Source organism: Homo sapiens, chromosome 1 (genome assembly GCF_000001405.40).
Source record: "Homo sapiens chromosome 1, GRCh38.p14 Primary Assembly".
NCBI classification, from domain to species: domain Eukaryota; kingdom Metazoa; phylum Chordata; class Mammalia; order Primates; family Hominidae; genus Homo; species Homo sapiens.
Genome location: NC_000001.11, coordinates 59,738,085 through 59,763,134, shown reverse-complemented (window position 1 = coordinate 59,763,134; position 25,050 = coordinate 59,738,085). Strand labels below are relative to the sequence as shown.

The 25,050-nt window shown below is 41.2% G+C and overlaps 1 protein-coding gene across 55 annotated transcripts in view, besides 2 other annotated features; it reads right to left on the bottom strand.

The window, feature by feature from the left end:
- Nucleotides 333–382: an enhancer, noted in NCBI's record as "active region_1111". NCBI's record gives its function as "activates an Ori minimal core promoter by ATAC-STARR-seq in GM12878 lymphoblastoid cells {active_cell/tissue: GM12878}" and the evidence as "EXISTENCE:reporter gene assay evidence [ECO:0000049][PMID:35858748]".
- The window catches only part of FGGY (FGGY carbohydrate kinase domain containing), a 466,353-nt gene continuing 441,707 nt past the window's right edge, over nt 405–25,050 (bottom strand). For 42 of the 55 annotated variants that reach the window (XM_011541731.2, XM_047424383.1, XM_011541730.2 and 39 more), the window contains 2 exons: nt 5,143–5,204; nt 405–632 (listed from right to left, as the gene is read on the bottom strand). In XM_011541731.2, coding sequence (XP_011540033.1) covers nt 551–632; nt 5,143–5,204 — 144 coding nt within the window. In that variant the 3' untranslated portion in view covers nt 405–550. The remainder of the gene's footprint in view (nt 633–5,142; nt 5,205–25,050) is intronic. The other 13 variants (NM_001350793.2, NM_001350797.2, NM_001350798.2 and 10 more) reach the window with 1 other exon arrangement.
- Nucleotides 10,301–10,390: a silencer, noted in NCBI's record as "silent region_942". NCBI's record gives its function as "represses an Ori minimal core promoter by ATAC-STARR-seq in GM12878 lymphoblastoid cells {active_cell/tissue: GM12878}" and the evidence as "EXISTENCE:reporter gene assay evidence [ECO:0000049][PMID:35858748]".

Here is a 25,050-nt window from a genome sequence, read left to right as displayed (position 1 = left end):
GGAGGCCGAGGCGGAAAGATCACGAGGTCAGGAGATCGAGACCATCCTGGCTAACATGGTGAAACCCTGTCTCTACTAAAAATACAAAAAATTAGCCAGGCGCGGTGGCGGGCGCCTGTAGTCCCAGCTACTCAGGAGGCTGAGGCAGGAGAATGGTGTGAACCTGGGAGGCGGGGTTTGCAGTGAGCCGAGATCGCTCCACTGAACTCCAGCCTGGGCGATAGAGCGAGACTCCGTCTCAAAAAAAAAAAAAAAAAAGTACAGGCCTTCCCTGGATTGAATAGCCCCCAAGGTCTAGTCTCATGTGAGATCCTATGACCCTATGTGAAACTTCTGTTACTATAATGGAGACTGTATGGAAACTGAAACTAAATAATAGCGGTATTTTGAAATGAAGACTCTAATTCTGGTTGCACATGTTTGTTTTCTTTATTGAAAGACAATACAGAAATGATGAAACAATACCTCAAGGGTCTTGAACATGGATCAAATGACAAGTCTTTAATGCAATGGCACAGAAGCTTCTGGCATCAGCACCTGCAAGCCCTGTTCAGTCATCATTCATGATCGCCAAATACTCCTTCTGGTGTTCAACCAGCTTCAGGAATACTTGGTATTTCTTATCATAGTATCTGTGGGAGAAATATAAATATGTTGAATGATCTCAAGACAAAACTGCCACAGGGCTTCCCTGTACATTTAGAAGAATGGAAATATATGTGTGGTGGTGATGCTGACACCTAGATTCTGAATGCTTACAGCATCCTGGGCAATGAATTAGCATGTTTCAGACCTATTATATGTGACCTGGATGAAGTTTTATTATCTCCAATTTAGAAATAAGAACATTTAAACCCCATCTCTTAAAAATACAAAAATTAGCCAGACATGGTGGTGGACGCCTGTAATCCCAGCTACTCAGGAGGCTGAGGCAGGAGAATTGCTTGAACCCGGGGGGCGGAGGTTGCAGTGAACCGTCCCCCGTTCACTGTGAAGTGGTTGAGTTGCACCACTTCGCTCCAGCCTGGGTGAAAGAGCCAGACTCCATCAAAAAAAAAAAAAAAAAAATTCCTAAATGAGAGGCATATACAAAGTAGTATAGATAAAAACTGGCAGAGCTGGAATTCAAACTCATGTCTGTCTGACTTCAAAGCTTCTACTGTATATACAAAAAGGCCGGACTTAATGGAGACTCTTTCACATTGCCAGCTTCAATAAGTATTTCCTATATAACTAGCCCCAGGTTTGATGACTGGCCTAAAATCACAGCCTGACCAAGGACAAAGACTGAACATTTTAATTGCCCTTTTGCAGATTCCACATCTAGGTTTCCCTTGTGACCTGCTTTATCCAGGAGCAAAACCCCATGGAAATGTAGCTAATGCCTTTTCTAGAGCTGTGCTCGCCTTCCAGACATCTCACAGTGGCCGTTGCTCTCCCTGTCCTATCTGGCTGACTCTTTGGGTTAGACCTGTTAGAACTGGTATTGGCCATGAATCAGACAGCAGAACAGCTGAAGCTGCTCTGGCATCATAATCCTGAAAGGAATAATAGGAACCGAGACAAATTATACTTGCAGCCTTGCAACTTTGTCCTTACTCCTCTTGGTTGGGAAGCTGACATGGGGTGAGGGGGTGAAGAAGCCAGTTTAGCATGTCTTGCTCAATTCTGGGGTGCTCTGAAAAGGAGTCCTCATGATGAAATTTTGGTGCAAAGTTGTGCATTGGCAGAGAGAGGTTGTAAGAGTAACCTTGGATACACACAGGGACTTCTACTTGTCACACATAGCTATGTTAGTAGGAGTCCCCTACCCAATATTTATTAGACTGTAAGCATTCTGGTAACGTAGGAGTTGTGACGGGGCCAAGCACAGGGTTAAAAGGCGAACTCCAAAGCCTGGGTTGGAATCTTAATGTGGCCTAACATTAGCTGTGTGACTTTGGATATGTTACTTAAACTATTTCTGCCTAAATTTCTCCATCTGTAAATGGGGATAATTATGGGATCTACTTCAGCAGAGCTGTTGTAGATTAAATGTGGAAATAAATGAAAAGCATTTAGAACAGTACCTGACTCATAATAAGTGATATAAATGCTAGTTACTAAATTTTAGATAATTAATATTTTAATATCATCAATATAGCTATATGTAGGTACTACTAAGACCTACTCTATGAGCATCCAAATTTATTAGTTGTAGAATTATTTTAGGAACAATTTGCTCCTACTAATGATGCTCTGTGACAATATAACGGTAAGGAATTCTTTCACTACATGAGATAGATTTCTTGACTTTAGAATCTCAAAATATCTAGAAGGGAGCTAAGGTGAGCACCCCTTCACACACACTTGATTTACAATGTTAATACTGACAACTTTGCCACAACTTTGTGCACTGGCCTTATTCTTTACATAGGTGGAATCATGCAGTATTTGTCTTTTTGTGGTTATCTTATTTCACTTAGAATAATATCCTCAAGGTTCACTGATGTGTGGCATGTCAGAAATTGCTTCTTTCTAAGGCTGAATAATACTCCATTGTATGCACATATCATTCTTCATTTATATGTTCATCTACTAATGAACACTTAGGTTGCTCTCATGATTTTCGCTATCATGAATAATGTTGCTGTGAACATGAATGTAGAAATATCTCTTCCATACCCTACTTTCAGTTCTTTTGGGTATATACTCAGAAATACAATTCCTGAATCACATGTTAATTCTATTCTTAATTTCTTGAAGAATGGCCATAGTGTTTTCTGCAGCAGCGATACTATGTTACATTCTCACCAACTATGCACAGAGCTTCCAATTTCTCCACATCCTTGCCAACATTTGTTGTTTTCTGTTTTAAAATAGTAGCATCCTAATGTGTGAGGTGGTACCTCACGGTAGTTTTGATTTTCCTAATAGTGCTGTTGAATACCCTATCACGTGCTTACTGGTCATTTATAAATCTTCTTTGGGGAAATATTCATTCAAGTCCTTTGCCCACTTTTGAATTGGGTTGTTTTTGCTTTTTTGTTGTTGTTGAGTTTTAGGAGTTCTTTATACATTTATATATTCTGGATATCAATCCCTTACTGGATGTATGATAAGCAAATGTTTTCTCCCATTCTGTGAGTTGCCTTTTTACTCTGTTGATAGTGTCTTTCAATGCACCAAATTTCTCAAAGCACATTTAAGTGACTCTTCCAGAGCCACATATAAATTTGGACTGAACATAATAATGCAATTTGGGGTCATCCTAAACATTTATTATTAAACTATAGTCACTAAATTACACTCTCCGTGACTGTGAATTTTAAAATCAGCTGAATCCCCTCTCTTCAAAATGTGCCTCAACTCAGTCCCTGCTTCTGTGTGGCAGAGGCCTAAGTAAATGTCGTCCCACATCGTTAACAGTGTGATCTATTAGGCAATGAGATGAGGTTGGCTCAGAAGGAAACTGGCTTCTCCTGTCTCCTTGCAAATCTCTGGGTTGCCTGCAGATGGTGCTAAAGCACCGTGTGTGCCGCCTCCTTCGCAGAGAACAGCTGCCAGCTGCCAGCTCCCAGCAAGCAGCGGAGGACTCTCTGAACACGTGGGGTTTACGGAAAAAACTTAAAAACTTCCCTGAAAAGTCTTGGGAGGGTCAGGGAAGAGATGGAGAAAGACAATCTTTCTAATTTCACAAAAAGAGGGATGCTCCAGCTGCCTCCAGGGAACAGAAACAGGGACAGCAGCCCATAGCTCCTACTGCCAGTGGGAACTCAGATCTCTCCACCTTCCTGCATGGAGCTCCCCTACGCAATGCCTGTACCTTCCACCCTGGCCTTTAGAGAAGGGTTTATATTCGGAGGGTTAGCAGCCTGACTCTATGTGGAGTTAAAGGAAATGAAAAGAAAGTGGATTGCTTTTCCATGAACATTTCCAATTCTGTTAAATACTGATCCTGCTTCAGTGGGATCTGCACATTTGCCTGTTCATCATGTTAAGTGGAATTTGCTTTTAGGTCTTAACCTCGAATACTTCCCTAAAATTATAAAAGCACTTCCACAACAGCCCCTTCATCTTCAAAATCACTACCAGCAAATTAATAGAGGTCTTTTACATCTCTAGCCTGGATTCTTGAAAAAGCCTTTTATCTGGACCCTCTATTTCTACCCTGAGCCCCCTGTACTGGATCCTTTAAGAGGGATTTTTCTGATCTGCATCTGACCAGATCTCACCACTGCTTAGAATTCAGCATCTCTGTTCTGCCTATAGGATGAGGTTGGAGGTCTTCAGCATGGCCTCCAAGGTATTTATGAGCTGACCTCCCCCTACCCAATTCTATCCTTCCCTAGTCCCACTTCCTGCCATTCCCCATCTCATACTTTGTGTTTCTGGATTATGAGTTGTTTATAGTAACCTGAATGTACTATGCTGCTCCCACTTTTATAACTGTACATGTTATTCCTTCTACTATGAATGTTCTTTCTTGCCTTGGCCTGTCTACCAATTTCTTACAAGAGCTTAAAGTTAGCTTGGACATAACCTCCTCCCAAAAGCATTCTCTCATCTCTACAGGCTCCCATCTCTTTCTTCCTTGGGCAACTTTGTCACCTGGCAATACTTCAATTGTGGAACTTATCCCGTTGTTCTAAAATAATCTTATGTGCCTAAATTAAATTGTGTTTTATTCCCCTGTAACACCTGCCTGGAGCCCAGCATAATGCCTTGAATATAGCAGGAATTCAGTAAACTAATATTTTGTTGAATTGGGATTAAAATACTGACCAATGTCATTTTTTAGCCTTTGATGCCAAGTGATACAAAGAGTAAAAGAATGAGCAGATTCTACTGGGTCCTTTGATGGAGATATAAGAGATCCCTACTTTAGAACAGAGAAGAGCAGATTTGCTGCCAATTACCTGGGAAAAAGAACATTGGTCTGAGAGTTCAGAAGCTTACATTCACCCCCAGCTCTGGCCCTACATAGTTCTGCAGCCTTAGGTAAGTGAAGGTGACATTACCTCCCTGGAACTTAGTTTTCTTAACCACAAATTAAAGGACTGGATTAGTTGACCACCTGAGTTTATTCCAGATCTATAGTTGCATGTGTGTGTGTATGTGCTCACTTCCTTAGCACTGTACATATAAAAAATACACACTTACTTTTTATCCTGTAGTCTCGGGAACACAACTTTCCCAACTTTGCTCATTTTTGCCATTGCTTCCTATTAAATGGAAAACAACATAGACAGCTGAGTTGGAAAGCGAAATCCAAAGCGAGGCTTGTCACAGGCAAAACATTCTAATTTGAATTTGCTTCCCTTTAAGATATTTGGTTAGTCCTCTTTTTTTTCAACTTACTTTTCTTTGGTAATAAGAATAAAACACAAAAATAGGAATAAAACACAGTGAACATTTAAAGTTTCAATTATGACCACACCTCCTGGGCTTAATAAATACTTGTGTATTGAGGCCTCTGGGGCATAAACAACCCAAAAGGCAAAGCAGTTCTGTGACTGCCTCCAGGGGTAAGTGGGAAGAATTATTTCCCCTCCTCACTATCTGGACACAGGGCAGAAGCAGGGAACATAACCAGCCGCTGAGTACATTGTCTACTTCCCTAAAGATAGCAATCACGGAATGGAACTCACTTCGCACCTGTACTTGAGGATAAAATATTTAAGACCTCTCCAATTCAACTTCAGCTCTTTTTCCAGCAATCTCTGAAGTTGTGAGTACATACTGAGACCTCCGGGCTGAGTCTAAGTGACTTGAGTTCTGGAATGTGACTTCAGGACATTCTTTTCTTTACAATGGGGCACTCAGGCAGATGACATGTTACAGCATCTGGGTAGACATGGTATGGTAGGTGCAGCATCAAGATTAACCATGGATTGTTTTGGCTCCCATATGAGCAGAAGGGTTAGGTTTTTTTAAGCAGTCTCCTAAGGCTGTTAAGGCCATGAGAAAGTAAACTTTGGAGTCCAACAGACCTGGCCAGGGAAGATTGCAAGCAACAGCACGACAAAGCTCTACAGCATAGGCTCAGTCTTAGGAACGGCTATTGAATTCCTATTGCTAAGGATGCAGTCATTCTGGGATCACATGTGTACAACTTCTTATTCTACACATTTATTAATCACTTACTATGTACCACACACTCTGCTAGGGATACAGATTTGCATACGACATACTCTTTATCCTGGAGAAACTCACATACTAGTAAGGGAGGAAAAAATGTAAAAAAAAAAAAAAAATCTGAATACCATACAGAATATGAGAGCCCCTGGGTATCTTCAAAACATTTCCAAGTGTTTCCCCTGACCATCTTTGCCACCTTACTGTGACTGATTGACTGATTTGCATGCCACTAATTTCCTTCTGCCACTTTGTATATTTACTGGTTTATGTGTTCGTTGTCTGCCTTCTCCACTCCTTGCCCTAACCGGAATGTAAGCTACACAGGGCAAGGACTTGTCTGTTTACTACTAAGTCTCGACACCTGGACTATTCATAAAACATATTGCCTCCCTTTCACGTGCCAAGCATAACACTCAATCTACATGGAATACAGAGAGGAAGATTGCATGGGCCTTTCATCAAAGAGCTCACTATAGAGTGGAAAAGACATTTACTGTGATCAAAATAGAGTGTGATAAATACTACGCTAGAAGCGGATAAACTTCTTTCAGTAGTTATTCAAGGGTTAGGTAACCTGATGGTTCTTTCATCTGCTAGCTTACACGAATTTCCACTCCTGCTAGGTTGCTCTATGGACTCTTCCACAAGGATAGCATGTGCATTCTGAACTAGACATCTAGCTTCCCAGCTCTCAATGGATGTGAATGTGCTGATTGGGAGATCAGAGATGCTAAGAGTAGCCAGCACAATGACAACAGAAAGAAATGGCAGCCTTAAGTAGGGAGGAGATTTTTTTTAATGAAGAAAAATTATTGACAAAGAAACCATGGAGAAAGAGGAAGACTAAAAGGGCTGTCTGGAGTCATTTTGTGGAGGGCCAAATGGTCAAACACATCTTAGTGAACATGCTGCCATTCCACTTAGCAGAGGTATGTTAAGAGCTCTGCTTACCCCAGAACAGTTTCCTTCAAAGACGAAGTCCTGATTCCCTTAGAGCAAGCCGGGGTATTGTTGAGATGGTCTCAGCAATCCCCATCATCAACCGTGCCACTCATTCTTATTTTGTCCTTTTCGTCTCTTCCTTGAGTTGTGCTCTGCTGTGCTTTAGGGAGGACCTTGCCTTCTATTGCCAGCTCTGAATCTTCAAACTGCCCTCAGGGAATGCTCCTCCTGGCTGTGCTTTGGCCCCACACTTGAGACAACATTCCAGGATCGCCCTCATGGGTGGGATCCAGGAAACTTCTATTATAGAAGGTACTCCATAAATGTTATTTTCCTTCCCACTGCAACAGATGTGCACATAAACGGCAGACATCAGGGAATTCTTCCCTCCTTTCTCCACATTACCTTTGCTTGTTTTAAAAATAAATTGAGAAGCAAACATCAGCAAGAGAGATTTCAATGGTTTAAAAAGAGGTTATGCTGTTTCTCAGAAAGTACAGATTTAAATGTTAAACTTAGCTCAGGTATCAGCTCTACTGAGATTTTTTTCTGACTCATCCCCGCTGCCTGCCTCCCACCTATATTGAGTTATGTGCTCCAACAGCAACTTCTGCTTCCGTCTATCATAGCGTTTATGACATGGCACCATATTTTTTTGTTAACAGATCAGCCTCCCCAACTAGACTGTGAGCGCCTTAAAGCAGGAATTGTTATAATTATTTTCACTGCCAAACTCGGCATCTGGCATATCGTATGCACTCAGGGAATGTCTACGGAATGAATGAACTTAAGGATAATACACGTGACGGAATGTTAAAATGGAAGTTTTGGCTGAGATCTAAAGATGACAGATATAAGATACCAAAGTGAACTGGAAACAGACCACCCTGAAGAATGTGCAAGAAGGGTGCCTGAGGACCCATTAATCAACTCTTAAACCTTTCATTGATGTGGAAGGTCAGACAGAGATGGATTTTTAGGAAAGAGCTGTTGGTTTACTGCACATCAGGCCTCCTTCCAGGGTGAAGTATGAAGAGATCCTCTCCCTTCAGGAGTCAGGAAGACACAGACCAGCAGAGAATCTGCTGCATGTCCCTGAGGTTGTGGCACATGGTGGCTTGTATGTGACTCCTGTCTGGAAGAGACAGGCTGGCTGACAGCTGCAGTGTAAAAGTGAAGTAGAGGTTACCCTGGGATCAACCAGCACTGCCAGAGTCTGTCCAGATCCAAAAGACAAAGGTTTCCCATAGACCCCAAGTGGCCCATGTATGAGAGAGCTGCCAGGGGTTCTCAGATCCTGTCCAACATGGCCACCTAACGAGGTGGAGCAGTCACCATAAAGAAGCATGAGGTTGGGCCGGGAGCAGTGGTTCATGCTTTTAATCCTGGCACTTTGGGAGGCCAAGGTGGGTGGATCACTTGAGGGCAGGAATTCAAGACCAGCCTGGCCAACATAGTGAAACCCCGTCTCTACTAAAAATACAAAATTAGCCAAGTATGGTGGCATGTGCCTGTGGTCCCACGGGGAGGGTGAGGCACAAGAATTGCTTGAACCTGGGAGGCAGAGGTTGCAGTGAATCGAGATTGCACCACTGCACTCCAGCACTCCAGCCTGGGAGACAGAGCAAGACTCTATCTCAAAACAAAACCAAACAAAAAAGAGACCAAAACAAACAAACAACAAAAAAAAAAGGAAAGGATTCCTGAGGAATTAAGAGAAGAGTAGTGAGCAATCTATGAGAATAGACAGGTGTTAACCAAGACAACAATATTTCAGGCGAGAGGTTTTCAGAGGCAGGGGGTCTCCCCAAAAATCTATGATGTGCCTTATGAGAATCAGAGCTAGCTGTAAACACCTATAAGGCTAAGAGAGCATGAAGCCCATTATGACAGTACTGATCAGATAAGAAATTTCCTACACCACTAACTTTTCTTCCCTTATACTTTCTAACCATTTCAGAGGAACAAGAAAAAAGCTAATATGTTGGAGAGAAAGTGAATGAGGAAGAAAGAAGAATCTGATTAGGGCTATGTCTCGTTTCTGGCAGACTCCAGCTGGAAGAACTGGAAAACATCTTACCTTTACCTTTACATATTCTTTGATATTTGAATTTCTGAATTTTGGCTACATCTCACAACTTAAAGGACCATAAAGGTTATATTATCTAAGTGACTTTATATTTATCTAAAAAAGTAATGGAACCACCAGGATTTTTAACCAGAGCAGGGAAAAACTAGCTCTACTGCACAAATGCAAAGGGATAATGAGAATAGAAAATAAAGTTATAATTTTGTATTCTATCTCAATAATCATGTTTGTGCTACATAATTTTTTGTTTGCTCCATATAACTTGTTAAAAACAAGTTAAAAACAAGATATGCATATAAAAACAAGTTATATATGCATAATAAAGATCGGATCAATATATATTAAAATGTTAACAGGTTGGATAGCATGGGTAACAATTTTTTTTTCTTGTCAAGTTGCTTATTGTGTTTTCTAAATTTTCTACAGTGGCATATATTAATTTTGTATTTGTAGGGAAAACATGTAATGCCATATATATATATATATATATATATATATATATATATATATATATATTTAAAGTTATGCTTATAAAGACAGTCAAAATGACTCGGGCTCACCTTCCCCTTTCCTGAAAGGCAGGGCTCATTATGGGTCCCTGACACAACGTGGAGAATACCCTGAGAATCAGTGCTGTCATCAGAAACAGCACTGCTGAGTTTTTCAATTTCTCCAAATAATTAACATAAAACTGAAATCTCATGATCCCACTTGGCTGCAGGAAATCTGAAATTACCACAACATAACAATATGAATTTAGTATGGAAATGCTGACACATGCTAAATATAGTCACCCCCACAATATATTTCTGTTCCAAAGGGTTTATTTGAAGTTGGCCTCCAAATTCATACTTTTTGTCAGCAGGCAGGAGCCGGACAATCTTAATTTGCAGCACGCTACCCTCTTTGTTTGAGAGTCTAGACAGCACAATTAATACAGTGACTTTTCTTTTTCCTTTTGCCCACACAATGAAAGCTTTTTAAAAACAAAATATTTTGTAAAATAGCATTTTAATCACTTCTTTTCTTTCTCTCTATAAGGCAGAGCTATAAATAAACCATGAAAGTTCACATTTGATCATCACTTCTGAAAGCAAGTGAAGGGTTTCTGGAGGAAAAAATAGGGGCCCTGTACCACGGCCATGAAAGACTGCATTCATGGGTTTGACCCTTCCCTGGTGTGTCGAGGCTGAGATACTAATCAGCACACACTGCTCACCACTTCTCTTGTGGCAGCACTGGCAACAGCCAGGCCTGCATGTGGCCAGGGGAAACACCCAATTCTCACTGTAATGACCTGGCCTGGGAGCTACCAAAGGGCTGTAGGCCATGTTGGAGTGAGTTACCAGGGAAATGAGGTTAAAGGAAGCCATGGGTTCTTCAGTACCCTTGGAAAAGATGTGGATTCCATGAGTGGTAGACTTACTGATGTTGGCAATTTTGGGAGCAGAAGATCTAGTACCTTCTCCCCTACCCTGAGGAAGGGGAATAATGGGCTTAAGCCTTTTGGGGAAGACTGTCAGTAGTCTAGCCCAAGGTACTACAGGGCACTGCAAGCTGGGCAATTCCAGAGTCACCATCTATAGGGGAGAATATAGCAGAACTTAGTGTGGTGGAAACAAGCTATATATGAACTCCCAGAAGGCAGAAATCACATCACTGTAGGCCTAATGTCTAGCACAGTCCTAGCACTTACAGGTGCTTGGTTAGTGTTTGCAGAGTTGCCAAAGGAAAAAGTGATGGCAGTGTTTCTTAAGTGGCATCCATAAACTCCAGGGAATTCTCATTAAGATTCCAGAAGAAAATACTGGAAGTGCCATTTATATGACTTTTTTTGGTCTTAAGAAATTAATTACACTTTACCAGCATTTAATATATGGATTGTTACTAGACAATTTATCAGTTTGGCCACACATCAGTCAGTCATGAGTCACATAAGATGTGTGAGGTTCTTGTGAGGAGAGTGGGAGCTCTCCAACTCCAGGGATGGCCCTATGGCACTCCCTTATATGTCCTCAGCTTCCAGAATTGCTACATGTTGTCGTTTGCATGTTCCAGGTTAGTGATTAATAGGTATTAACTAGTTTAAACTAACCCTCACAAAATGGACAAGCAGCTAAAAAAGATTCAGTCAATGGATTTGCACGTGATGGAGATAATTATCACCAGTTCACCATTCAGATTCAAGTAAACAAGAAAATGGTGATGTATTTACTCAGTACTAGCTCCTCATATTGTAAGGTAAAAACAATGAAGACCTAGTCAAATAAGACAAGGATTGGGAAAATAATCAAAATTATCAAGAAGATTGCCTTAGATTTCGATACATAGGCACATACAAAATCATTTAAAAATCATCAAAAATCATTTTAAAATTATTAAAAACACACCTGGCCATAGACATATAGTGTACTTTTACATGTTGCTAATATTAGCATGAAGCCATCATGACAGGTAAACACATTGGAAATACTTTGGTTCAGCTATATTTCACTTGTTTTATAGAGTAAATAATCTATGAACACAGTATAGCACATCATGCTTTTTCATAAATAGGTTTTCATGTACTGAGGATGCATACTCAAAATTTATTTTAACTGATGGGGGTATATGGTTAAAAAACACTGTGGTGTCTGTTGACTTAGGGGCCGACTACCACTGCCATTGCCATTTTACTGGTTTAAGCTTTGTACTCTGTGCTGTGCTGATTATTTTAAGTACATGATCTTTTTAACCCTCAAAAGGACATTAGGACACAGATCATCTATCACCACTTTGTGAATAAAGGAACTGAAAATAGAGAGAATATAAGTAATTTTCCCAAGGTCATAAAGCCATTATGTAGTAAAACCAGAATTCAAGCCCACTTCTGACTCCAGGCCATTGCAAACCCTACATTCGGACTCAGTGGTACCATTCTCCCTGTCATGAAAACAGCCTGATTCTTGAGTGCCCTAGGCTGGAGTTCAAATCCTACTTCTGCTGCTTATTAGCAGGTGTGATTACCTGGAGTGAGACGAGCACGTGTGTATCAGTGAGATGCATCAATACAGGACACTGTACCTTTTTTTTTTTTACAGATGCTGACACATAGCTCTAAAATACAGGAATCTGCCTTCCTGAGGAACTCTGACTCATTTGACTGGAACAACAAGTTCACATGCTAATGTGTGGGCTGAGGCACGTGACCCCTCCATAGAAAAACAGAAAATATATCAATGTGACTTTCCTTCAACACGCATTAAGAAATGGCTAGTTGTTCTCTTATTTATTTTGCTTTCTTTTCCTTTTGACACAGTCATCTTTTGACCTGCACCTGGTATTCTGTGTAACCCCCATGAATTGGAGACAAAAATATCAATTGAGAAGCAGGAAGGGATGAGAGAAAAAGAGAGTGGGAGAGGTCTTTATCATTACTCATGATATGAAAACTGGCACCTCATTTATAATTTTAAGTACACTATGTGCACACATTTACATATCTTTAGAGTGTTGACTATATGGGTGTATACTTCATCAAAATTCATCAAGCTGTACATTAATATCTTTGTATTTCACCTTATGTGTACTATATCTCAATTTAAAGTTTGCAAAAGAAAATGAGAAAACAGAACTGCATGTCAGTATATTTATATTTTATTTTATTTTCAATTATAAAAATGCCTACCAAGAGAAAAAAAAATTTTTAGACGCCCAGTCCTCTAATTTTGACTCTAAAACATACCTCAAATTGGTCTCTTGGTCATAAAGGAGGGGAGGAGTGGAAGCTTTATAATTCTGTAGGAAATGGAGGCATTAGCAGAAAGATACTGGGTTTTAGAGATAAATGGGCTTGGGGTTGGATCCAGGCTCTGCTACTTATCAGATGTGTGAATCAAAGCTCAGTTTTCCCATTTATTAAGTGGGAATAATAATATCTACTCAGTGTTGTTGAAAATTCCAGTATCCCATTCTCTGACCACTACTGCCTAACTGGTCTCTTGACTTCCACTTTGGTTCCCCTTATAGCAGTCAGGACCAGTCTAGGTGATTTTTCAGAAGCAGAGAAAATAAAGGGCAGTGATTAAAATACAGACTGACTATAACAGACTGCCAGAATTTGAAACTGGATTTTTACATTTACTAGCTGTATAATCACGGAATAATTACTTAATTTCTTCATGCCTGTTGCCTCATCAGAAAATGGGGATAAAAATATGCCTTTCATAGGACTGCTATGAGAAGCACGTGAGTTATTTGAGGTAAAACACAACAATGCCAGCATATAGTAAATGCTACATAAACTTTAGATATTTATTATCCCTTTAGCATGCAAGCTCCATGTGGCCAGGGGTGTGTATTGGATTCATGCACCACACCAAGAACTGTGCCTGGCCAGAATAGTTAATCTATAAGGATTTGTTAAATGAATCAATGAATGATTTTACCTCTCTGGGCTGTTTTTACCTACAACACTCCTGACACCAAATGTATGGGTTTTTTCCTCACACTCACCAATTCTCCAACTCTCCTGCCACCAATTGCATGACTTATAATTAAATTTGATTCAATTCTGACACTGACCCCAGTTAGTTAGTGTCAGACCCCACAGCTTCAGGGCTCAGTCCAGCAAGACTGCCCACACTTCAGATGCCAATCACAAGTCCTGGGTCTCCTGTATTTCTGACCAACTGACCGCAAATTGGAGGTTTCCACAAACTCCACCCCCCAAGGCTTGATAATTTGCTAGAATCGGCTTATGGAGTTCAAGACAACGGTTGACTTACTATTACCAGTTTATTATAAAGGATAAAATTCAGGAACAGCCAAATGGAAGAGATACATAGAGCAAGGTATGAGGGGAGGGAGGTGCAGTGGTGCAGTGAGCTTCCATGCCTCCTCCAGGCATGCCATCCTCTCAATACCTCCCTGTGTTCACCAATCCAGAAGCTGTCTAAACCCCATCATTTAGGGGTTTTTATGAAGGTTTCATTACTTAGGTATAATTGAGTAAATCATTGGCCATCGGTGATTGACTCAATCTCTAGCCCCTTTCTCATTCTGGAAGGTCAGGGGAGGGGCTGAAAGTTCAACCCTCTAATCATGCCTTGGTCTTTCTGGTGACCAGCCCCCATCCTGATGCTACGGAGGGGTTCTCAGCCATCAGTCATCTCATTACCATACACATGGAGCTTAATCTAAGCTCCATAAAAGTGAAGTCCTTGGCTTTCCTTTCTTTGAAGTATCCCTAGCTTTTAGCAGGGATTCCAAGAATTTTAGAAGCTGTGTGCCAGGAACTAGGGACAAAGACCAATATTTATTTTTTAACACGTCCTTGCAACAGTGTTCCATCGCTTTTTGAATAAAACTCAAATGTCATAGGGTGGACTAGAACTTCAGGATGGAGTTTATGCAGATGTCTCCAGTCTCATCTCATGCCCTGCTTACTGGGCTGGCCATGCTGGGAACACACTGGCCATCTTGCTGCTGGCTGAACATGCCAACCTTCCTCCTGCCTAAGGCCTTTCTGAATCTCTCAGGAATGGTCTTCTCCAGGATCTTTGACTGTCTGGCTTTTTCCATATGATTTAGGTTCTCTTCAAACATAATATTGAAAAGACTGCCCTTGGCCACTCTTAGCAGAAGCAGTGCACTCTCCTAAACATCTATGACATCATCTCATTTTCTTTTCCTCATAACCCTTGATAGCACATCATCATCTGAAATTATATTTTTAATTGTTTATTGTCTGCCTGCTTCTCTGTGGTCCTCACCTCTGCTCTCCTCCCTCCTGAATCTAAGCTCCATGAAAGTGGAGTCGTTGGCTTTCCTTTCTTTGAAGTATCCCTAGCTTTTAGCAGGACATTTGTTAAATGTAAGGTGAAAGTGCAAGTTTATTGAATGCCTATTTTACGCAAGGTACTGGTATACAGATCTTGCCTCCCTTGATCCTCACTAACAGTCTCTGAGGAAGGTCTTATTATTTAAATTTACAATGAGGAAATAAAGGCTCAGAGAGGTTAAGTACTTGCTTAAGCTAGTAAAGGGCTAAGCCAGGATTTGAAACTTGCTTTAGCTCATGAATAAGACCAGGCCCATTCCTTAAGAAGCTCACAGTCAACAGGCAGATCTCCAGCTTTAGTTCATGACAATTTATTTTCTTCTGATGACTTTGGGGCCCTGTAAAGCCCTAAAAGCCTGCTTTCTTCACTGTCAAAGACAAATTCAATTATGGTCATTATATTGTGCTTACAAAGGCAGGAAGGTGGATTCACTGATGTATAGAATGACTGTTCATATTAATTATTGAAACAAACAAAATTACTGCCAGCTGTATGACCCTGAGCAAGACCCTTCCCCTCCCTGGGACTCACTTTCTTTATCAGTAGAATGAGGGGGTTGGAGTAAATTATCTCTGAAGTCTTTGCCAGCTCTGCAATCTGTTGGTTTTGTGCACATGTGGTTTTCTGATTAACTCTCAGTTGACAAGTTACTCCTTATTCCTCACGGTACATTCTATTAGGGTTTTGCTCAGCACACTCCGACAGAGAATATACCCACAGTGTTTTCCTAGCAAGGGAAAGTTTCATTCCGATTCAGTCATGGGCAAATACGGCACAGGGGAGTGGTTTTATACTAGGTAAGGCCATCAACCTCTGTTGTGATACTCTGAGATGGGGTCCTAATATATGGCCTGGCTGCAAAAGAGTTGGATCCAAACATGAATAGGGAGCAAGTATTCATCCCATCTACATGAGTTTGACTTACTTCTTATGGATTTCTCAAAGTAAAAATAGGAAGCTTCTTGCTAAAAGCATCAGACAGATGATAGGTTCCAAAACTGCAAGCTGTCACTCATCTAATAATCTATTGTTGACTGGAAAAAAATATGATCTTGCTGATATGTGAGGCTGAGAAGGTATATAGTACTGCCGTGAGCTGTAATTAAATAATAGTAACTCAATAACAATAATTATAATGGCAACTGATATTTGTTGAGTACTTACTATGGCCTAGCACTATATTATTAAATACGTTACCTAGTTTGTATTCCCAGTTCAAAGACAAGAAAACATATGGCTTTGGAACCTATACTTTTAAACATTTGCTGTGAAACAAAGACTTCAGTGATATTTAGATCATAATCCAAACCCTAGTTCTGCCATGAACATCCTGAGTCTCAATTTCCTCATTTTAAAAATGGAAATTTTAGGCTGGATGCAGTGATTCACACCTGTAATCCCAGCACTTTGGGAGGCTGAGGTGGGAGGATCGCTTGAAACGAGTTTGAAACCAGCCTGGGCAAGATAGGGAAACCCTATCTCAACAAAAACATAAAATAAAAATTAGCCAGGTGTGATGGTACGTGTTTGTAGGCCCAGCTACTCAGAAGGCTGACTGAGATAGGAGGATCCCTTGAGTCTGGGAGGTTGAGGCTGAAGTGAACCTCGATTGTGCCACTGCTCTCCAGCCTGGGCGACACAGTAAGATGCTGTCTCAAAAAAAGGGAAGTTTTAATACCTATTTTATAGGCCTATTGGATGGACTAAATGCTTAAAAGTGCAGATATTGTTATTATTACTATGTACCTATCAACTGAAATAAACTTTATTTTCCCAGAAACTTTATTGAAAGGTAAGTGTTGCCATGTGTGTATGTTTCAGGTGGGTTGGGGAAGGTGATAACAGTCATTATTCTCAGGCCTCCTCATTATCATTTCCAGACAAGTATTCCTGCAGTTGCAGGCAAAAAAGCCTGTTCCTCTGAGGTTTATGCCACCTAATGATGGAGATACAATGACACATGTCTCCCCTGCATCTCACTGCTGTCACTGTCAGCCTCTTGTTTCTGTCCCTATGTTAAATGAGGCTAAGGCTCCTAGATCACAAGCCTCCCTATCTACCTGGAGGTTTATCATTGTCCTGGACAACTTCAGCATCTGCTCATAAGACCCATCCAATGTTCCACTGTTAGACGGTTTCAAAATGTTTCCACCTCCGGGACCTTCATCTCCATTTCACTTCAATACTCCCACAGCCCCCCTTGAGACTGCTATACTTATGAATATTACAATATACCAACAGCCACTTTCTGAATTCCATTGCCCTTCAGTCCAATTCTCTCATGTACTCTATCATTCTTAGCAAATGTCCTTCTCCACTTTAAAGCAACTTCCAGAATCTCCATCACTTCATTTTCTTTCAATTCATGTGCCCTGTCTGGCTCTAATTTCTTCCATAGCTAGCTTAGAGTCCATCATCTTTTGTGTCATTTACCGACAAGAATCTGCAATATTCTCTTAACTGCCCAATTCAATAGCTACCTTCAGTCCACAGAAACATTTAGCCAGGATATGCTTCACTTATGGCTACAAGGGACAAAATCTGCTTCGGAAGGAGCAGGCCAATGGGAGACTGCAACTCAAGAAAGTGAAATATCATGAAAGGCCGCAGGGTCTGAACACTTTTGAAATTTGCACTGCCTGCTTCAATAGTAATTCCTTCCCATGATGATCCTTTGGCCAGCAGATCAGCAACCAAATCGACAGCAAAGAATCAAAATGTGTGATAATATTAACATAATGAATAATGATTGAGCTGCAAGGGATGTTGGTTAGTCACTAGGCCAACTGCTCTGGGTTTAGGCAGGTGAATAATCGAAGCTAAGAGGCAAGGAATCTATCCATCCATCTATCCCTCCATGCTCTTTCAAGTTCCCTGCTTTTGGATCTCCAATTCTTCTAAGCGAGAGCCATTTTGGTAGTGGGGCCTAGATATTCTGGCCTAGACTTTGGAGCTGGCCTTAGACTGTTTACGATACAGAAACCCTCTAGCCAAGCCAGAATCCATTCCAAACCAACTTCCAGAGGAAAAAGACAAGCAAAGACATCGAATCTGAAGCCAGGAGTTGAGAGGCTAAGGATGGTACCAAAGTAAGAGAAGGGCTAGAAGCCAGGAGCATAGAGAGAGCAGAGGTCAGACAGATAGAGTGACAGGTGTGGAATGCAGGTCCAAAGCAAATCACTGTAGTGCCCTTTTAAACTCTCTTTATTATGTGTTTATAATCTCTTCCATGTTCCCAAAGCTCACTGATTTTCCTCTGTCTTATCATTCAGCACACAGTAGGATAAATGTCTGTTTTCTTACGTCTCCCCACTGGACTGTGAGATGTCAAAGGGTAGAAGCCATTAACTTTCTCTGTATTCCCCAAAATTGATATAAATAATGCAAAAATGTAATAAATACATGTTGAAAGAATTAAATGAATGAGTAAATGGATTAATGAATTAATGAATGAATCAGGGGTAGGATCCAGGATATCTGTATAAAGCAAGTTTAGGATCTCCCTCAGTTGTACTTTTTGGTATTTCCTGCCAGGTCAACACATTCTTCATTGTCCGATGTCAGACAGTTAGGATCACAGGCTCTAGACTGGCTAGATTAGAACTTTGACTCTTTCACTAGCTAACAGAATGGCTTGGGTGGGCCGGGCGCAGTGGCTCACGCCTGTAATCCCAGCACTTTGGAAGGCTGAGGCGGGTGGATCATCTAAGGTCAGGGGTTCGAGACCAGCCTGGCCAACATGGTGAAACCCTGTCTCTACTGAAAATACACAAATTAGCTGGGTGTGGTGGCAGGTGCCTGTAATCCCAGCTACTTGGGAGGCTGAGGCAGGAGAATCGCTTGAATCCAGAAGGCGGAGGTTGCAGTGAGCCGAGATCGTGCCACTGCACTCCAGCCTGGATGACAGAGGGAGACTCTGTCTCAAACAAAACAGAATGGCTTGGGCCTTAACTAACCTCTTTGTCCCTCAGTTTACTCATCTGTAAAATAGAAGTAATAGAAATAATTACTCATAAAGTTAAAAAAGAAAATGCATACAAACCACTGAAATTAGTGCCAGTCACAAACTAATAGTTTCAAAAATGTGAGTTATTTTTATTCTAAAAATTATTACATCAATCTCCACCCCAGCGCTACACAGGATCTTGTAATGTTCTCTTGAGTGATACTATTTAAAGACAGCACTTCCTAATCTGCTGCTGCATGTGACATGCTGCCTGGGCAGGGGAGTGATAAAGAACACAGAATGCAGGGACCATTCAACATTGAATATCAGCTGATGCCTGTGGTTAATGAAGGGAAGGAAGATGAACAATGGACAGAAAGGAGGCTGCAGGGGATAAAAGTTGTAGAAGCTTCTTGGTTTGGAAACACAAAGTTTATTTTTGGGTTGTACTTCCAGTCCTTTTACTTAAAACAAACAAAGAAAACAACTATGTCAGCTGTGTTTACAAATAAGAACTTGCTCCGGCTTTTACAAGACACAGGGAATCCAGTCTGCTTCCTTCTGGTTACCATATTATAGATAGGCACATGATGTGCTGGAAAAAAAAAAAAAAGATCTGGAAATTAGGAGGCTCCAGCCCTGTATTAATCTTAGCCTGGGCTCTGTTGTTTTGAATAAGTTGCTTCCTTTCTTTGGATCCCAGTTTCCTCTTTCTCAAAATGGGAAGTTTGAGCCAGATAATGTCATTTTTATTGTGCAACCAAATACTTATTGAGTACTTATTGTGTGCAAGGCATTGTGCTACACAATATGGATAGAGGAGGCAACCAGACAGCTCTGATCCCTGACCTCATGAAGTTTAAAGCCTGCTGGAGAAACATCGGTGATCATGGGAGACAGGAAGAGGAAGACAAAACTACTATGGAAACTTATGGAACTAGCTGAAGGTTGACAAGGAGTTGGCTGGGTAAAGAAAGTTGATGAGGAAGGTTCCAGACTGAAGGAAATGCATATCTGAAGGCCTTAAGTAAAGACAACATGATACATTTAAAGGACCTAAAGAAGTCCAAGATGACTGGATAAAATGAAGGGAAAGCATATAGGAGATGAAGCTATAGATGAAGGCAGGGGTCAGATTTTGGATGGTCCTGTAAATCATGTTAAAAGGTTTTGAGTTATGCCAAAGTCAAGGAGAAGCCACTGGAGAGTTTTAAGCAAGAGTGATCTTATTCATGTTTGTTAAAGATCACTCTGGTAGTTTTGTAGAGAATAAACTAAAGAATGGTAAAAGTGGAGGCAAGGAAACCATTCAAAAGTTCTTTGGAGCAGTCCAGGTGAGACAAAAGGATGGTGATGGTAGAATTAAAGCAAAGTGGAAGAATTCAAGAGACATGAAATGTAATTTAGAAAGACACCATGAGAGACTGATGTGGAGCAGAAAGACAGAGTGGGCTCAGAATGTCCTTGAGGTTCTGCCAGGAGTGAGTAAGGACACGTGGTGCCATTTATTGATAGTGCCACGTATGGGAACAGTGCCAATTTTTCAGGCAGAGGTGGAGATGGTGGGTTCAGATTTTAATATGCTTAGATTGAGATGGCTGTAAGCCCTTTAAGTGAAGATGTTATATAGATAGGTGTAAACCTGCTGGCATATAAATAGTAAATGAATCCTTAGAAGTAGATGAGATGGACAGATTCCTGTATAAGACTACCATATAATATTGGGGAGAGGAGAAAGGAAAACTAGAAAAGGAATTTGTGCAGAAACATTCAGAACAGCGGGAGGGAAATCAAGAAAATATGTTGTCAGTGGAAGCGTGTTTCAATGAAGGGAGTGCTCCACTTTGCAAAATGTTGCCAAGGCTAAAGCTGAGTAGGGGTTGAAAAGCCCTTTGGGCTCAGCAATGCCTTGGGTCAGCACTAATGACTGAGGCAGCATGATTTTGGTGGAATTTCTGTAGCGGAAGGAAGATCTGCCTTAGTTAAGGAGGCAGGGGTGGTGGTGAGAAAAATCATGGTAGTGAGGATAGATACCTTTTAAAGCATCCTTGACCATGAGAGGCAACAGCTAGGGGAGCTGATAGGCAGAAGAAGGGATTTTACTTTACTTTTTGAGACAGGGTTTTGCTCTGTCACCGAGGCTGGAGTGCAGTGGCATGATCATAGCTCACTGCAGCTCGAACTTCTGGGTTAAACTGATTCTCTGGCCTCAGCCTCCTGAGCAGCTGGGACTACATGTATGCACCACGGTGACTGGCTTTTTTTTTTTTTTTTTTTGAGATGGAGTCTCACTCTGTCACCCAGGCTGGAGTGCAGTGCTACGATCTTGGCTCACTGCAAGCTCTGCCTTCCGGGTTCAAGCCATTCTCCTGCCTCAGCCTCCCAAGTAGCTGGGACTACAGGTGCCTGCCATGATGCCTGGCTAATTTTTTTGTATTTTTTTAGTAGAGATGGGGTTTCACCATGTTAGCCAGGACGGTCTTGATCTCCTGACCTTGTGATCCACCTGCCTCGGCCTCCCAAAGTGTGTCAGCCACCGCGCCTCGCCCGCCTGGCAATTTTTAAAAAATTATTATTAGAGAAAGTGTCTCACTATGTTACCCAGGTTGGTCTTGAATTTCTGGCCTCAAGCAATCTTCCTGCTTTAGCTTGTTCTCGCACTGCTATAAAGAAATACCTGAGACTGGGTAATTTATGAAGAAAAGAGGTTTAATTGGCCCATGGTTCTGCAGGCTATACAGGAAGCATAGTGGCCTCTGCTTCTGAGAAGACCTCAGGAAACTTACAATCATGACAGAAGGCAAGCACGTCTTACATGGCTGGAGCGGGAGGAAGTGGAGGGAGGTACTACACACCTTTAAACAACCAGATCTCCTGAGAACTCACTATGTGGTACCAATGGGGGGATGGTGCTAAACCATTCATGAGCTCCACCCCCAAAATCCAATCACCTCCCACCAGGGCCCTCCTCACTGGGGATTACAATTCAACATGAGATTTAGCCAGGGACACAGATCCAAACCTCCCAAAGTGCTGGGATTACAGGTGTGAGCCACTGTGCCCAGCCAGGGATTTTATTTTTAAGATGAAAGGTTTACAGCAGCACTGTCCAACAGAAATAATATGATTTACACAAGTAATTTTAAATTTTCTAGTACCCACTTAAAAAAGTGTAAGTGAACTGGTGAATTTAATTTTAATATGTTTTTATTTAACCTATTATACCCCAAATATCATTTCAAGTAATCAATACAAAAATTATTTATGAGATATTTTACATTCTTTTATTCATGCAAAATGTTTGAAATCTGGTGTGTATCTTACATATTGCAATTTGGACTAGCCACATCTCGCGGGTTCAATAAATACGTTTAACTAATGGCTACTGTTGGATAGCACAGGTCTAGAGCATGTTTAAATGTTGATGAGAAGGAGATAGTATTGAAGAAGCTAAACATAGAGTGAATGGATAATGAATTAAGTGGGCTGTTAGAGGCAGTAGGAGATGAAAGAGTCTCTGATAATAAGTGGGCCATCTCTTTCATCGTAACAAATGTGAAGGAGAAAAAGACTGTATCTGGATATAAGCAGTGGTGTGTTGATAAATAATACTGATAAATAATCAATAGAAAGCCCTAATTTTATCAATTGCCAATTTCTGTGTTGTAAATACTTCCATCTTGGCCAGTTTCAAGCTCTGAATGTGATGGAATGGATGTGAAGCTGGGAAGAGATGTGCACAATATGCTCTTGCGAGCAGGGCTGAGCTAGCCCCAGCTCACTACCGGATCTAAGAAAGCTGGGAGATTTAATGGCAGTTGTCTTTCTAATGGCTTTTCTCTTAGAGGTAGTTGGTGGCTAAGAATAAACAGGAGGTCATCTCTCTGAACATGAGAGGAAAGACAGGGATGGAAATTGGCAAAGTTTGATAATAGTCATTGTAGAAAATGGGAAATTGAGCTGAAGTGATATATTTATTCAGGTTCCTATTAGGAAAGAGATTGACACTCACATTGGGTAACTGAAGTAAGCTTCAAGAAGAGTTGTTTAAAAAGGTTTAGGTAAAGAAACAAGTACCTAATGATTACCAACAGTAAGGAGCCATTACAACCTCTTAGCCTGAAGGAGGACAGGGAGGGAGGAGAGGTTCCCATCATGCACAAAATTGTAGGGAAAGGGCCACACACAGGAACTGTGGTCCATTGTAGAAGGATGGTAGATGGATGTAGCTAACCTGCGTCAACCCAGCAAGGAGAGCGCTGGGGGAATAAACAACTTCATTATTCTCCAGGTTCCTGCTGGGGCTGCCCATTGGCCAAACCCAACCAGAAACCAGGGCTAAGAGACTGGTAACAATTAGTATAGAGTGGTAGAAGCCTGCCTTATGGTTGTATGGCTTTGATTTATAGTGTCCACAAAGCTGAATTCATCCTGGATTAAGCTTTGCTAAAGAACAATGGGGAAAAAATAAAACAGCCACGTGGAGATTGACCATGTAGAAAAAGAGAAGATGGGTAAGAGGAAAGTGAAAAAAAAATTCTGAAAACAGCCCTTCCACGTACATTTTAGAGAGAAAGAAACTAAAACTCAAAGCATAATGTGGCCTGCCCAAGAGAGCAAGTTTAGTTAGTGGTAGGGTTATCAGACAGGTCTGTTTAGCTGGAAAGCATTTTCCACCTTACCTTCCCACCTGCAAGCAATGAATGGTTTGGTTGAAACCATTCTCCCCATACCCCTGCACCCCTCACTACCCAGTTTCTGCGCTTGGGAGAGTAAAACTCAAAAGAACAAAACTTATTTGAATGAACGTTTTTACATATGGCCAGATAGGTGAGGTGAGGCTGTGTTTGGTAGCCTGGGCAGGAAATGTTTGCTAGTTTATTTGCAGAAGCCAAACTTATCTCTACCAAGCAATTAAAAAATAATCTGTCAGGTTAGAGGCAAGGACAGAACAAGATACAGCTTTTAGTTGAAGCTGAAACATTATTGGAATTTTCTACCCCCAATATATAAACTCATGCATACTGAAAAGCAAATATTCACAAGGACTGCCTTCATTACTGGTGCTCATGGCAAATGTACAAGCTAAGAGGTGGATGAGGCATGTGCAAGGGTGTCTTTTGTGAAATAAAGGTGAAGTTAAGTTTTCAGGAATGCTCTGTTCCCCACTCCATGTCTGTTCTGGTCTCCCTTCAAGGCAGTACCTGACCAGGTGACCTTCTTACTTAGGTCCAGTGGTTTGGGCAGGAAAGGCAGAGAGAATGTGCCTGGATTCCCCTGTATCTGGTACTGAAATCAGAGCTACGAAGCTGGGAATGGACAAAGAAGCACTGGCCACAGCTAGGATGGCATTCCTGTGGTGTGACCTTGGGGCCTAATCTCTCTCAACCCATTTATGGAATTTCCTCATTTATAAAATTTGGCCAATACCTAATGGGTAATTGTGAGGATTATATAAGGCCAAGAATACAAAGCTCTGGACAGATGTGAGTGCCCAGCAAAAGTGGATTCTTGCCACATTCCTGTTGCTCTCTGGTCCTAGTACTTTGATTTAACCATTTATTTCATTTCCCAGAATAACCAGTTTCTTCTGACATGGGATTCCATTCACAGAAGATAGCAGCGGTTTTCCTACAACTTCCCAATCATGATTATTCTAGTTTTGTTTTGTTTTATTTGGTCACTTTTGGGCCCTGGTGACTCCAGGTGGCCATTCTGGGGAAACCACAGCATTTTGGATCATGGTTTTTTTCCCCATCTTTGAGTAAACACCAAAAGCTTTCTTTACCTTTTATTCCAATTCTTGTTTGCCATCTGGTGCCTGGTTTGGCTGCATCTGTGTTTACTTAATGACTTTAGGCAAAGGCCGAGTTTACATACGGGAAGAATGAGAGGGCTTTGCTGATTCCTTCCATATGTTCATTTATTCATATATTATGATTTTTGTAATCTCACCAGCATAGATCTCTTCAGACAATCCTTACCCTGTTCCCTGGAGAGCTGCTTCTTTGTGTTTGCAGCTGGGAGTTTCTGTGAGAACGTTTTCTTCAATGCCTATTACCTTTAGCACAGCTCAGTGAGGCTTTTAGATGGGCACAAAATTAATATTCTTGAAGGTTCTTCTTTTTGAA